Source organism: Homo sapiens, chromosome 9 (genome assembly GCF_000001405.40).
Source record: "Homo sapiens chromosome 9, GRCh38.p14 Primary Assembly".
In the NCBI taxonomy this organism is placed as follows: domain Eukaryota; kingdom Metazoa; phylum Chordata; class Mammalia; order Primates; family Hominidae; genus Homo; species Homo sapiens.
In genome coordinates, this window is record NC_000009.12 from 62,374,481 (window position 1) to 62,389,405 (window position 14,925).

At 38.6% G+C, this 14,925-nt stretch overlaps 2 long non-coding RNA genes and 1 pseudogene across 4 annotated transcripts in view; 2 read left to right on the forward strand and 1 right to left on the reverse strand.

Annotated features, from left to right (window-relative positions):
- On the reverse strand, positions 1–2,390 carry FAM88C (family with sequence similarity 88 member C). The gene is made up of 2 exons (NR_126048.2): positions 2,018–2,390; positions 1–1,902 (listed from the first exon to the last, which is right to left on the reverse strand). It is a non-coding gene; the product is annotated as a family with sequence similarity 88 member C (long non-coding RNA).
- The window catches only part of FGF7P6 (fibroblast growth factor 7 pseudogene 6), a 59,264-nt pseudogene continuing 46,114 nt past the window's right edge, over positions 1,776–14,925 (forward strand). The window contains exons 1-2 of one of the 2 annotated variants that reach the window (NR_047527.1): positions 1,776–2,333; positions 12,294–12,403. The product of NR_047527.1 is annotated as a fibroblast growth factor 7 pseudogene 6, transcript variant 1 (transcript). The remainder of the gene's footprint in view (positions 2,334–12,293; positions 12,404–14,925) is intronic. The other variant, NR_003674.2, reaches the window with a different exon arrangement.
- Positions 1,852–14,925, forward strand: part of LOC128966771 (uncharacterized protein FLJ76381) — a 98,522-nt gene continuing 85,448 nt past the window's right edge. The window contains 1 exon segment of the long non-coding RNA NR_185482.1: positions 1,852–6,027. This is a non-coding gene — a long non-coding RNA (uncharacterized protein FLJ76381).

The following is a 14,925-nucleotide window of genomic DNA, read 5'->3' on the forward strand; positions in this document are numbered from 1 at the left end:
TTATGTAATTAAAACAATACAGAACAGACCAGGGTTGACTACAAGATCAATGGGACAGAATAAAGTTACATATCCAATGCCTGCTGCTGACCACAGGGATTTGTCACAGATCTCATCACTTAGAAACCCTACAGTGGTTTCCCTGGTCACCTTCCAGTCACCACTACACCTTGGCTCCTTTTAGCACTCCTCCCTAGCTTATCACTATATGAAATTGCTTTATCTCTTTGTATTGTCTGTCACCTGCCACCATAATGTGAATTTCTAGACCTCCATAGCATGCAAAGCTCTAGAACAGTTCTTAGAACACAGAAGGTGCTTGACAAATATTTTCTGAAAGAAAAAGAAGATACTTCAATACCTCAGTTTACTAAGGACGTGGGGCTACCATATGGCTGCCTGAACAAATACAGCTTGACATTCACTTTCTTGCTACTGATTGAAGTGTATTAACTTGTGTAATCACACAACTACCCTATGGGGTAGGTGCCCTTATTTCTCCATTTGGCAGAGAGGGACTAAGTATCTTAACCAAGGTCACACGGCTTTCAAGTGCCAGAGCCAGGACTCAGATCTACATAGGTCTGGCTCCAGAGCCCCCAATCTAACCTCTTAACCTCTCTGCTTTACTGGGCTAAACCTTCACCACCTATCATATGGAAAAAGAAATTCAATAGAAAGTTATATGGAAAAAATACAACCCTGTGTTAATATTAGAAAATCCATAGTAACATGTAGAATGAGGAAGCTTCCTCAAGCCCAACTATACAGGTCAGATCGGTTGAAAAAATAAAACTAACAAATTTTTACATGTCAAAATATGCAATATTTGAAAATCCAAGGCTAATATCTTTAAATAGGCAAAGATTTATTAATACTCCTTGACACACAAACAGGAAGTGAGAAAATGGGCAACTGACACAAATCGATAATTAACTGTGAGGACATAGGTGGTGGAGTCTCTCCTAATCCTCTATTCTTGGAGATCTGGATGCCTGCCATTCGCGTATGGGAAGAACAGAGACAGTCATGGAAAACAGCATTTGATCTAGAAAGGACCATAATGAGGTCAAAGGGCGGTCTCAGGGCAGTCTTAAGAGCTCCCCATCCCCAAAGAACTGGCAAGGACTCTCCAGGTGCTCGTATGCGACTGCTGCCCAACTCCCATCACGAACTCAGGAGACCTGTCATTTTCTGAAATTTTCATGACTTCTAAGACACTAGTTATTGGGGAAAATTTCAAATTATTTAAATAATGAGAGGCGAATAACATTGCTAAACTCATGAATACTCTGTATTTAAAACCTCCACTGGCGATCAGGGCACATAGAATCTCTACTACTGATCCCTGACGCTGGCCATCCCCCAACCCGTCGGCCCACGGACCCCAGCCCTGACCCCACCTCCTCCCAGCATCTTACACAAGGATTCTCACCACACTCCCCAGAGACTCGCCTGCCCAGGGCCCCTCTCTAACCCCATATAGCTCAGGTCTCTGATCCAGAGACTGCATCACCGACCTCTCCTACTACCTATTTCCAGATTAGAGTCCCTGATCCCAGAGGCATTGTCTAAAATAACTAGCTCTTACAACTACGTCCACTTCAGGAACCGCCCTGTGATGTCAGAACTTTGAGGCCGCCCGGCCAGGGCTGCACATGCTCAGTGAGGTCGGCGCCCGCCAGTAACAAACATGGCTCCCTGAAGCCGCTCAGGCTCAAGAGCAACATGGAGGTCTGCACTTAATCGCTCCTCTCCGGGGGCGGCCATACTGAGGAGGCATCTCTTCCGTGCAGGCAGGCTCTCCTGGGGACCTCAGAGATTCTCTCCAGCGGCAGCAGAAAACGGGCAATGGGTGGATTCGGGTCCAGATTCTGGCAGGAGGGAGTTTGGGATCGAGATCTGGAAAAAAGCACTAGACTGGAAGAGGACGCGATGGAGTCGGAGCCGCTGGCGGGTACAAAAACCAGAGGCCGGGGAAGGCGCCGGTGGGAGGCAAGGCACGGATGGACTTTACCTGCGCACGCGTCGCAGCCATCTCCGCGCACAGTGGTGGCCACCGCGACTGGTGCTGAAGTGTCGGCGTGTGCCGGGCGCTCCGCTGGGACCCGGGTTGCTCGCCCTGAGTCTCAGCTTTCTCATCTGTACGGTTGGGACAAGTACAGTAACCCTCGCCCGTCAAGACGGGCCAGGGCTGTGGCGAGGGTCCACGCCTTAGAGCAGGCACCTATCTTGTGCAGGGCCCTGAGATGGGGTCTGACTCAGTTCCTGCGGGGAACTTCACCAGTGACCCAGTCAGTGCCCTTCAGTTAAAGACCACCAGGAGCACACTTGTAAGTAAATATAATTACATTGCAGCAAGGAATGGGGTACTATGGGTCATCTCAGTGGGAGGAGTTAGAGAGAAACTATTATACGATTTGGACTTTAATTGGTTGATTTCGGACAGGATCTCAGAAAGTGAAGACTTTAGATTGGATGCTGTCAGAAAGCAGGAGCAATATGATTATTAAGTATTTTGTGGGTGGCATCAAGACCTTGTTTTTTATCTGCACTTAGACAACATTATAAAGTGCCCTTGTTTTTGTTTGCACTTATCACGGTCTCAGATTAACCTTCTGAAGTTGATATTCTGTGAGATTGTTTATGTCCAACAGGAAAACAAAATGTCCTGGCCATGAACATCAGACCAGCGTGTAATCACATTAAGGCCTGTGACCAAAATATTGACAGAATTGAAGTTAGAAATAGTTCTACAGTAACAGAGTCTTCAATACTCCATTTAAAATAATGCATAGAAGCTGGACATGGTGGCTCATGCCTTTAATCTCAGCTACCTGGAAGGCTGCGGCAGGTGGATTGCTTGAGGTCAGGCGTTCGAGACCAGCCTGGGCCTTTTGGCCTGTCTCGGCTTTTAACATACCTTCCTCACTCAGCTTAATCATTTCTCACTTTAGATTTATAATAAGAGATGTGTGACTCTTACTTTCACTTGAACACATAGAGGCCTTTATAGAGTTATTAATTGGCCTAATTTCAATATTGCTGTGTCTCAGAAAACAGACCTGAGGAGAGGGTGAGATGGAGGAAGGGCAGATCGATGGAACCATTCGAATACACATATGTATCAATTAAGCTCATTGTCTTTTGGAGCATGGCTTGTGATGCCCCAAAACAATGACAATAGTAATATCAATGATCACTGATAACAGATCACCATAACAGATATAATAATAACAAAACATTTGAAATATTGCAAGAATTACAAAGATGTAACACAGAGGTGCAAAATAAGCACATGCTACCAGAAAAGTGGCACTGGTAGACTTGCTTGGTGCAGGGTTGCCACAAACCTTCAACCTGTACAAACTGCAATATCCGAGAAGCATAATAAAGTGAAGTGCAATAAAACAAGTTAAGCTTGTATATGTATGCATGCACACACCAGTACACATCCACCTATCCACACACAAATCTTTGTACTAACAAAGCCTGTATTTTCAATTCCAACAATACATCATTTGTACCTTAAAAATCTCTGTCATCCTTGTAGTGTCCTTTTCTGTCTTTGTTATCAGGGTAATGCTGGCCTCATAAAAAATGTTTGGAAGTGTTCCCTCCTCTTCAACTTTTGGAAGAGTTTGTGAAGAAATCGTATTAATTCTTCTTCAAACATTTGGTAGAATTCTCCACTAAGCTATCTGGTCTTGGATTTTCCTTTTTCAGGAGCTTTTTGACTACTGACTCAATATTTTTAATCATTATTTATCTGTTTTTATTTTCTATTTCTTCATGTTTCAGTCTAGTGGATGTATGTTTCTAGAAATTTCTCTATTCTAAGTTAAACAATTTGTTGACACATAGTTGTTTAGAGTAGACTATTATTATCCTTTGTATTTCTATGGTACCAATTTTAATATCTCCTTTTTTGTTCTAATTTTATTTACTTGAGATTTCTTTTTTCTTGGCCTAGTGAGAGGTTGGTCAATTTTTATTATCTTTTCAAAAAATCAACTCTTCGTTTCATTCATCTTTTCTATTGTTTTTCTAGTCTATTTCATTTATTTCTGCTATGATCTTTGTTATTTCCTTCTAATTTTGGGCTTGATTATTTTTTTCTATTTTTTGAGGTTTATTTGGGATCTTTTTTCTTTATTTAGCACTTATCTGTATAAACTTCCCTCTCTTAGAACGGCTTTTGCTTCATCTCATCAGTTTTAGTATGTCGTGCTTTCATTTTAGTTTGTCTCAAGATATTTTATTTCTTTTTTGATGTTTTCTTTGATCTACTGGTTATTCAGGAGTGTGTTGGTTGATTTCCACATATTTGTCACTTTTCTAAGTTTTCTCCTGTTTTTAATTTCAGTTTCATGCCACTGTAGTCAAAAAGAATACTTGGTGAGATCTCAATCTTCTTAAATTTGCTAAGACTTGTTTTCTGGCCTAATATATGACCTATGTTGGAGAATGTACTGTGTATGCTCGAGAAGAATGTGTATTTTGCTGTTTTGGAAAGGAATGTCATGTATATGTCTGGTCCATTTGATCTATAGTGTAGTTCAAGTCAGCTGTTTCCTTATTGATTATCTGTCTGAATGATCAATCCATTGTTGAAAGTGGGATATGGAAGTCCCTTACTGTTATTGTATTATTGTTGTCTACTTCTCTCTTCAGATTTGTTAATATTTGCTTTATATAATTAGGTGCTCCAATGTTGGGAGAATATATATTTGCAGTAGTTATATCCTCTTGATGAATTGAGCCTTGTATCATTCTATAATGACTTTCTTTGTCTCTTGTTACAGTTTTTGACTTAAAGTCTATTTTGTTTGTTGTAAGAATAGCTACTCTTTCTCTTCTTTTGTTCCCTCTCTTTCAGTCTATGTGTGTCTCTAAAGGTGAAGTGAGTCTCTTATAGGTGGCATATATTTGGTTCTTGTTTTACTATCCATTCAGCCACTCTGTGTCTTTTGTTTCACTGATTTGGTCCACTGATATTTAAAGTAACTATTGATAGGCATTTTGTAGTTTTCTTGTTCTTTTATTTCTCTCTTGCTGTGCATGATTTGATTACTTTGATTATTTTCTGTAGTGGTATACTTTGATTCTTTCCTGTGCCTTTGTATTAATTCTTTTTTAAACGTGGTAAAATTCTCATTTGTGTATCTGTTACATGTTTGTCTTTGTGATTATCATGAGGCTTACATAAAACATTGTATGCTATCGTGTGCCACACAAGGATGTTTTGGTCAATGATGGGCCACATATACAACGGTGGTCCCATAAGGTTATAACATTTTTATTGTACCTTTCATATGTTTACATACATTAGATACACAAATGCTTATGATTGTATTACAGTTGCCTATAGCATTCAGTATAGTACAATGCTGTACAGATTTGTAGCCTGGAAACAATAGGTTATACCATATAGCCTGGGTGTGTGTTAGGTGGTATTATCTAATTTTGTGTAAGTATACTCTATGATATTCACACCATGACAAAATTGCATTATTCAGAACATATCCGCATTAAGAAATGCATGATTGTAGTTATAATGGTCTATTTTAAGTTGATAACAACTTAACTTCAATCATATACAAAAACCCTACACTTTACTCCCCTCCACTTATGTTTTTTGATGTCAGAGTTTCTTTCTTTGTATATTTTGTAATTATATTTATTTGTAGTATTTTTTGTCTTTTAACCTTTTAAAAGTTAAAGTGATTATACTGCATCATTACAGTATTAGGAGTATTTTGAATTTGACTGTATAGTTACCAGTGACTTTTTATAACTGCATATGGTTTCATGATACTAATTAGTCTTATTGCATTTCAGTTTGAGGAACTCCCTTTAGGGTTTCTTATAAAGCAGATCTAGTGACAGTGGACTCCCCTAGATTACTGTGGGGGGTTTCTGAAAAAGTCTGTAAGTCCTAGCCAGAGCAATTAGGTAAGAAAAAGAAATAAAAGGCATCCAAATTGGAAAAGAAGTGAAAGTGTGTCTATTTCAAGATGACATGATCTTATATAGAGAAAATTCTAAAGGCTCCAAAAAAAAACTGTTAAAATTAAGAAACAAATTCAGCAAATTTACAGAACACATAATTAACATTAAAAAAAAAAAAACCTATTGCATTTCTATATACTAACAGTGAACTATCCCAGAAAGAAATTAAGAAAACAATCTCGGGCTGTGCGCGGTGGCTCACGCCTGTAATCCCAGCAATTTGGGAGGCTGAGGCAGGTGGATAATGAGGTTAGGAGATCGAGACCATCCTGGCTAACATGGTGAAACCCCATCTCTACTAAAAATACAAAAAATTAGCCGGGCGTGGTGGTGGCCGCCTGTACTCGGGAGGCTGAGGCAGGAGAATGGTGTGAACCCGGGAGGCAGAGCTTGCAGTGAGCTGAGATCACACCACTGCACTCCAGCCTGGGTGACAGAGCGAGAGTCCATCTGAAAGAACACAATCTCATTTACAATAGCATCAAAAAATTAACTTAGGAATAAATTTAAATAAGAAAGTAAAATTTCTATATACCAAAAACTATAGAACACTGATGAAAGAATTTGAAGATAAAAGAATCTCTATTACTCAGTGTGATCTACAGATATAATGCAACCCCTATCAAAATTTCAGTGGCATTTTTCAAAGCAATGGAAAAAAGCAATTCTAAAATCTGTGTGCAACAGACCCCAAACAGTCAAAACATTCTTGAACAGAAAAAACAAAAGTGGAAGCTTCACATTACCTTATTCCAAACTAAATTATAAAGCTATAGTAATTAAAATAGTATGGTACTGGCATAAAAACAGACATGTAGGCCAAGGGAAAAGAATAGAAAGCACAGAAACAAATCCATGCCTTTACAATCAATTGATCTTCAGCATTGGTGCCAAGAAAACACAATGATAAAAGTTTAGTCTCTTTAATAAATGGTGTTGGGAAAACTGGATATCCACATGCAGAAGAATGAAACTGAACCCTTATCTCACCCCACATACAAAAATTGACTCAAAATGGATAAAAGACCTCAACCTAGGAGCAATATTGTAAAACTCTTAGACATAAATATAGGAGAAAAGCTCCTTGACACTGGTATTGGTAATAAATTTTCAGATTTGACACCAAAAGTATAGACAACAAAAGCAAAACTAGACAAATGGGACTAAATCAAAGTAAAAGATTCAGCACAACAAAGGAGACAATCAATACAATGAAAAGACAACCTAAAGAATGGGAGAAAATATTTACATGCTATATATCTGATAAGAAGTTAATATCCAAATAAATTAGGAACTTAGACGATTCCAAAGGACCTTGTATTAGTCTGTTTTCATGCTGCTGATAAAGACATACCTGAGACTGGGTGATTTATAAAGAAAAAAGAGGTTTAATGGACTCACAGTTCAACACAGGTGGGGAGGCCTCATGATCACAGTTGGAAGGTGAAAGGCATGTCTTACATGACAGCCGGCAAGGCAGGATGAAAGCCAAGCAAAAGGGGAAACCCCTTATAAAGCAATCAGATCTTGTGAGATTTATTTACTACCATGAGAACAGTATGGGAGAAACTGCCCCCATGATTCAATTGTCTTCCACCAGGTCCCTCCCACAACATGTGGGAATTATGGGAACTACAATTCAAGATGAGATTTGGGTAGGGACACAGCCAAATCATATCATTCTGCCCTGGCTCCTCCCAAATCTCATGTCTTCATATTTGAAAGCAAATTATGCCTTCCCAACAGTCCCCCAACATCTTAACTCATTTGAGCATTAACTCAAAAGTCCACTCTCCAAAGTCTTATCTGAGACAAGGCAAGTCCCTTCCAGCTATGAGAACATAAAGTCAAAAGCAAGTCAGTTATTTTCCAGATACAATGGAGGTACAGGGAGGGTGTAAATATACCTGTTCCAAATGGTTGAAATTGGCCAAAACAAAGAGGCTACAGGCCCCAAATCCAAAATCCAGCAGGCCAGTCAAATCTTAAAGTGCCAAAATGCACTCCCTTGACTCCACGTCTCGCATCCAGGTCACACTTATGCAAGAGGTGGGCTCCCATGGCCTTGGGCAGCTCCACCCCTGTGGCTTTGCAGGACATATCCCCCCTCCTGGTTGCTTTCATGAGCTGGCATTGTCTGTGGCCTTCCCGTGTGCATGGTCAAGCTGTTGGTGGATCTACCATTCTGGGGTCCAGAGGACGGTGGCCTACTTCTCACAGATCCAGCAGGCAGTACCCAAGTGGGGACTGTGTAGGGGCTTCAACCCCACATTTCCGTTCTGCACTGTCCTAGCAGAGGTTTTCCATGAGGGACCCCCCCCCACCCGCCCCACAACAAAATTCTGCCTGGACATCCAGGTGTTTCCATACATCCTCTGAAATCTAGGCAGAGGTTCCCAAACCTCAGTTCTTGACTTCTGTGCACCCACAGACTCAACACCATGTGAAACTGCCAAGGTTTGGGGCTTGTGCCCTCTGAAGCCAAAGTCCAAGCTGTACCTTGGCCCCTTTTAGCCATGGCTAAAGTGGCTGGGATGCAGGGCATCAAGTCTCAAAGTGGCACACAGCAGGGAGCCCCTGAATCCAACCCAGGATTTTTTCCTTTTAGGCCTCCTGGCCTCTGATGGGAGGGACTGCCACAAAGATCTCTGACATGTCCTGGAGATATTTTCCCCATTGTCTTGGGGATGAACATTTGGCTCCTTGTTGCTTATGCAAATTTCTGCAGCTGGCTTGAATTTCTCCTCAGAAAATTGGTTTTTCTTGTCTATCATGTCGTTTGGCTGCAAATTTTCCAAAGTTTTATGCCGTTTCCTTTTAAAACTGCATGCTTTTAACAGCACCCAAGTCACCTCTTGAATGCTTTGCTGCTTAGAAATTTCTTCTGCCAGCTACCCTAAATCATCTCCCTCAAGTTCAAAGTTCCACAAATCTCTAGGGCAGGGGCAAAATGCTGCCAGTCTCTTTGCTAAAACATAGCAAGATTTACCTTTACTCCAGTTCCCAACAAGTTCCTCGTCTCCATCTCAGACAACCTCAGCCTGAATTTCATTGTCCATATCATTATTAGCATTTTGTTCAAAGCTACTCAACAAGTCTCTAGGGAGTTCCAAATTTTCTCATGTTTTTCTGTCTTTCTGTGAGCCCTCCAAACTGTTCCAACCTCTTCCTATTACCCAGTTCCGAAGTTGGTTCCACATTTTTGGATAACTTTACAGCAGCACCCCACTTTACCAGTACCAATTTACTGTATTCATCTGTTTTCATGCTGCTCATAAAGGCATACCAAAGACTGTGTAATTTATAAAGAAAAAGAGGTTTAATGGACTCACAGTTCCATAAGGCTGGGGAGGCCTTACTTATGGTGGGAGGCTAAAGGCACATATTACACAGCAGCAGGCAAGACAGAATGAAAGCCAAGTGAAAAAGGAAATCGCTTATAAAACAATCGGATCTTGTGAGGCTTATTTACTACCACAAAAACAGTATGGGGAAAACTGCTCCCATGATTCAATTGTCTCCTACTGGGTCCCTCTGATAACACGTGGGAATTATGGGAGCTACAATTCAACATGAGATTTGGGTGGGGACACAGCCAAAGCGTATCAGACCTGAAGAGATACATTTCTAAAAGACATACGATTGACAATAGGTATATACTAAGAAAAAGATGTTTGCCATTACTAATCATCAGGAAAATGCACAATGAGATATCACCTCACATCTATTAGGATGGCTATTGTAACAGTAAAAAGGTAACAAATGTTGCTGAGGATATTGAGAAAAAGAAACCCTTGTGCTTAGTTGATAGTTGATGGGAATGTAAATTGGTACAGCCATTAGAGACAACAGTATGGACTTTCCTCAAAAAATTAAAAATGGAACTCCCATATAATCCAGCAATCCCCATCTAGGTATATATCCAAAGTAAAGAAAATCACTATCTCAAAGAGATATGTATACTTACATGTTCATTGCAGTGTTATGTACACAGCCAAGATATGGAAACTACCTGTGTCCATTGACAGATGGATGTTTTAAATGTATTACACACACACACACACACACACAAGGAATATCATTTAGCCTTTAAAAATGAGGAAATACTGCCATTTGTAACAAAATGGACAAACCTGGAGTTTATTATGGTAAGTAAAATAAGCCAGGAACACACACACACAAATATCCTGCATGATTTCACTTATATGCATACTAAGAAAATGTCAAACTCATGGTAACAGAGTAAAATAGTGCTTACCAGGGCCTGGGAGTTGGGGGAAAAGAAAAAATGTTTGTCAGAAAGTACAAACTTTCAGTTATAAGATGAATAAGTTCTGGAGATCTAATGTACAGCATAGTGACTAAAGTCAATAATAATGTATACTTGAAATTTGCTGAAAGAGTAGATCTCAAGTGTTCTCCACCACACAAACACAAATAAAAAGGTAACCAGGTGAGGTGATGAATATGTTAGCTTGATTGTGGTAATCATCACTTCACAATGTATATGTATATCAAAATAACACACTGCACACCTTAACTATATACAATTTTTCTGTTAATCAATAGAACTGGCAAAAATATGTTATATGTTGCCTTGACTCCATTTCTTCTTATTTTGTCAAAATAGATAGTCCTCATTGTTTGCATGTTTAGAAACTTGTGCTACATCTAGAAGCCAGGAGTGGGGTAGGGTGAACTAAGTTACTGATTCTTTAGGAACCTTAGGGTGTGAGGTGGGACTGGAGTTCAAGGCCTAGGAGCTGAGTCTGGTCTTGATCACCCTCTTTTTTTGTTTTGTTTTGTTTTGTTCTGTTTTGAGACGGGGTCTCACTTTGTTGCCCAGGCTGGAGTGCAGAGGCACGATCTGGGCTCACTGCAACCTCTGCCTCCCAGGCTCAAGCAATCCTCTCACCTCAGCCTCCCAAGTAATGGGAACCACAGCCATGTGCCACTATGCCTAGCTAATTTTGTTGTATTTTTGGCAGAGATGGGGTTTCGCCTTGCTGCCCAGGCTGGTCCTGAACTCCTGAGCTCAGGTGATCCACCCACCTCGGCCTCCCATAGTGCTGGGATTACAGGTACGAGCCACCACGCCTTGCCATGAGCAGCCTCTTCTGATATCCGTGGTGTGTTCTGTACACTTTTTTTTTGTCTGAATGCACCTTTCCTTTCTCCTCCCTTGCACTCCAGAACCGTGGATACTCAAGTCTATCCTGAACCATATAGAGGGGGAGCTTTGAGTGCTATATGAAATTCATTTATGATATCATTCTTCATTCCTTCACAGAAGTAACTCAGAGTTCAATTAGGGATTCACATGGTAAATTTGTCTTAATGCTCCAAGTGGGCTTAAAGGAACTTCCTTCTTGTCGGCCATCATGTTTGTATACAACTGTAATGGGAATTTGAGTTTGTATGACTAGTGTCATGAGCACTCATGTTTGTGAGCACACCTCTGCATCTGCTATTTCTTCTATTGGCCTACAGACTTTTCCTTCTTTAGGATATTATCAACTTGAATTCAAATTTTTATCAAAAATTGGACCTAGCTCTTTTTATTCATATTTTCCTGCTACATTTTTTCCACTAATTTATTTTCGATAGGTTATATTGTGTTTTTTGACACTTAAAAATTTTACCTGACAATCTTAACCTTTGATTTATGTAATTATTGTTCCATTATGACTTCTTTCTGTCATCTCATTTATGATTTTTCATACTTTACTGTGTCTTTTTTCCTATTTGTACCTCTCACTCTATAGATCAAAAATTTTTCATTTGTTTGAAATCTGGAAATTTTTAACATTGTAATGGTGGTTATGTCATTACTTTTGTTAATTTTCTCAATTTCCTCCATGTGTCAAAATTAATATCATCTCAGCAAACCAAATAAGTACTCTAGCCTCCTCTTGCCACCTCTGGTTTGCTTTCTCTGTTACGACAGCACTTTGTCTAAGGTGGTACTTTCTGAAGTTTACTCGGAGTTGTTTTCAATATGTTATGTTTTCATGTATGTTTTAGGGTATGATAAACACCACTACCATTGATTCTGGAACCCTCAATTCTAACACCACGGTGTATTTCTCTTCTTAGTGGAGTATGTCCTCTAGGCATTTTCAAAGGGATTTATTTGAAATAAAACTTTTGAGGCCTTACTTTATAATGTCTTTTTCTGTGCTTTCATATTTAAAAGATTTTGGCTGCAAATAATTCAAGGATTAAAAATTGTTTCCTTTTAATCCTTGAAAAATATTACTTCATTTTATTCTTGTCTCCAGCATTGCTGTTGGAAAGGCTGATGCCAATCAAAACCAATTTTTCCCTAAAGGATGATCTGTCTTCTCATCATTTTGACAGGATGTAACAAAACAAAGGAGTCTTCAATGTTGTGAGTATAAATCATTTTGCAATTATAAACTTAACTTAAATATTAATGCAATACAAAAAGAATTAAAACCTTCTTGAGACATGCAAGTGCACAGGAAAATTAACTATCATGCACTCATTCAGGAAGAAAAGGTGCAAAAGAAATTTAATGAAAGAGACGGTCGTTAGATGCAAGTGTGGTTGAATGTAGGGATGCGATGCTGACAAGTGGCAGCAGGCCTGGCAAGCTGTCTATCCCAATTCAACTACTTCAGAAAGAGAAGAATATTAACTAGGCTATCTTGGTGATGTGTTGAAAAAAGGTGCTATGTTTCCTTTTTAATCATTCAAAACAAAGGTAGTAAAATTCCTGGGAAATAAGAAATAATGCATCATAAATGTATAAAAATAGAAGAAAATACTATATTTTTATGAATTTAAAATGCCAGCTATTGTAGATTGTTATCTCTTTTCAGAAGTGCTTTAAAATTGATGGCACATAGTAAAAAAATGGCATAAATTCCAACAATTAATGGAAAAACATTAATCCATCTTCTTGAATCTTGGAACCAGGATTCTTTTGGGAGGCTTCGGTGTATCTGTGTATCATTTCATTGCCTTCACACAAATCAAATCATGCCACCTGCGACTGTGGTTTGAAAAAAAAAGAAAACATAATAATGATGCTGTCAATTCACCTGAGATTCCATGATCAAAATTAACCTATGAACAAAGCACAGACTTTATTATAATTACAAAATAGGATGTAATTTACATAAAATGTGAAAATATAAGTATAGAACCATATTTGATACAAGTCGAAAGCTATGACAGGGACTGTTGGAGGGGAGGGAAGTTGTACACTAATCTCCACATCCTACTGAGCCAATCAGTGGTGTTCAAATTGGATGGACTGTATATTTAAACAATATATTATTTAAGCAAAGAATTAAGCACTGTAAGTATATTATTTAGAGGAAGCAAATTTTTAAAAATCCCTTAAAATTATATATTAAAGACTAAATTGGAAATATAGTTTTAGAAGAAGAAAGTGGGGTAAATGGGCTAGGTGCAGTGGCTCACGCCTGTAATCCCAGCACTTTGGGAGGCCAAGGCGGGCGGATCACGAGGTCAGGAGACCAAGACCATCCTGGCTAACACGGTGAAACCCTGTCTCTACTAAAAATACAAAAAATTAGCCGGGCGTGGTGGCTGGCGCCTGTAGTCCCAGCTATTCAGGAGGCTGGCGGAGGAGAATGGCGTGAACCCGGGAGGCGGAGCTTGCAGTGAGCCGAGATAGCGCCACTGCACTCCAGCCTGGGTGAGGGAGTGAGACTCCGTCTCAAAAAAAAAAAAAAAAAAAAGAAAAAAGAAAAAAGAAAAGAAAGTAGGGTAAATGAGCTATATTCTCTATCGTTCATAAAAAGTCAAGGGATATTACTTAAAACTGATAAAACAAATTAGGTGATTATATAATATTATTTACAGTTCAAGAGAATAGCATATAGTAAAAAAAAGAGTATGATAAAACCTGCCTAACTCTGAAAAACAGGACCAAGGTCTGTGGAAGGAAAAAAAAAGTTTCTGGTTTCCACTGATTTTTTTGCCATCAAACTGTTTGAATGATTTTCCATGCACATGTGTTGCTTTAATTTAAAAATGTTCTTACTCACAGATCCCCTTGAATTACGTGTAAAATTAGGTTTCCTTTAGTCAATGGTGTATGAAAAGTAATCAACTCATCTAACTGAAGTTAGACATTAATAAATTATAATTTGGGGGATAACATAAATATACCTATTAAAAACAACCAGAACATAACAGTTGGCTCTATGTTCTGCTTATCTAGGAATTTTTAAAATTATAAAAAAAAAAAGGAGTTTCACATTTTTAAAGAAACATTAGGAATAAAAATGTAAGTGTTTCTCTTGGATAAAGCTCTTAAAATCACTAGTAGAATAAAGTCAATCTAGATTAAAATTTATATTTTCAAATTTATAATATGACCAATATTGCCATCAAAATGTTCCGGCACAGAACATTTTAAAGTAGCTATTTTATTGTTTCTCAACATCCTCTTTCCTTCTATGATTGGCATCACAAATCATGATTGGGACATCTTATCAAAGAACTATACTTGTAGTTTTTGAGTGAAAAGCAAGGGAGAAATTTTATTTGTGCCTTGACCTTATTGATAATGTGTAACTTGTGATGGCCACTATCAATAGAACTATCAACAGATTCGAAGGGCACTGTTTGTTCCTTTAATATGGAGAAATATCGCAAATAACTGGGAAATAATTTAATGACTGAAGCCTTCATTTTTAATCATATAGCTGAGTGATATTTTAAGTTTGATGAGAATAAACATTTGAACAAAAATAGCCAATTCCCTGTTTCATAATTTAATACATTTGTGTTAAAAGGTTTAGATGATAAAGTTAATTTTGAAATGCATTATAAATAACTAAGTAGCAATCATTAAGTTCATTTTTAAATAACTGTTTAGATAACTTAGTAATTAGCAATCATTAAGTTCATTTT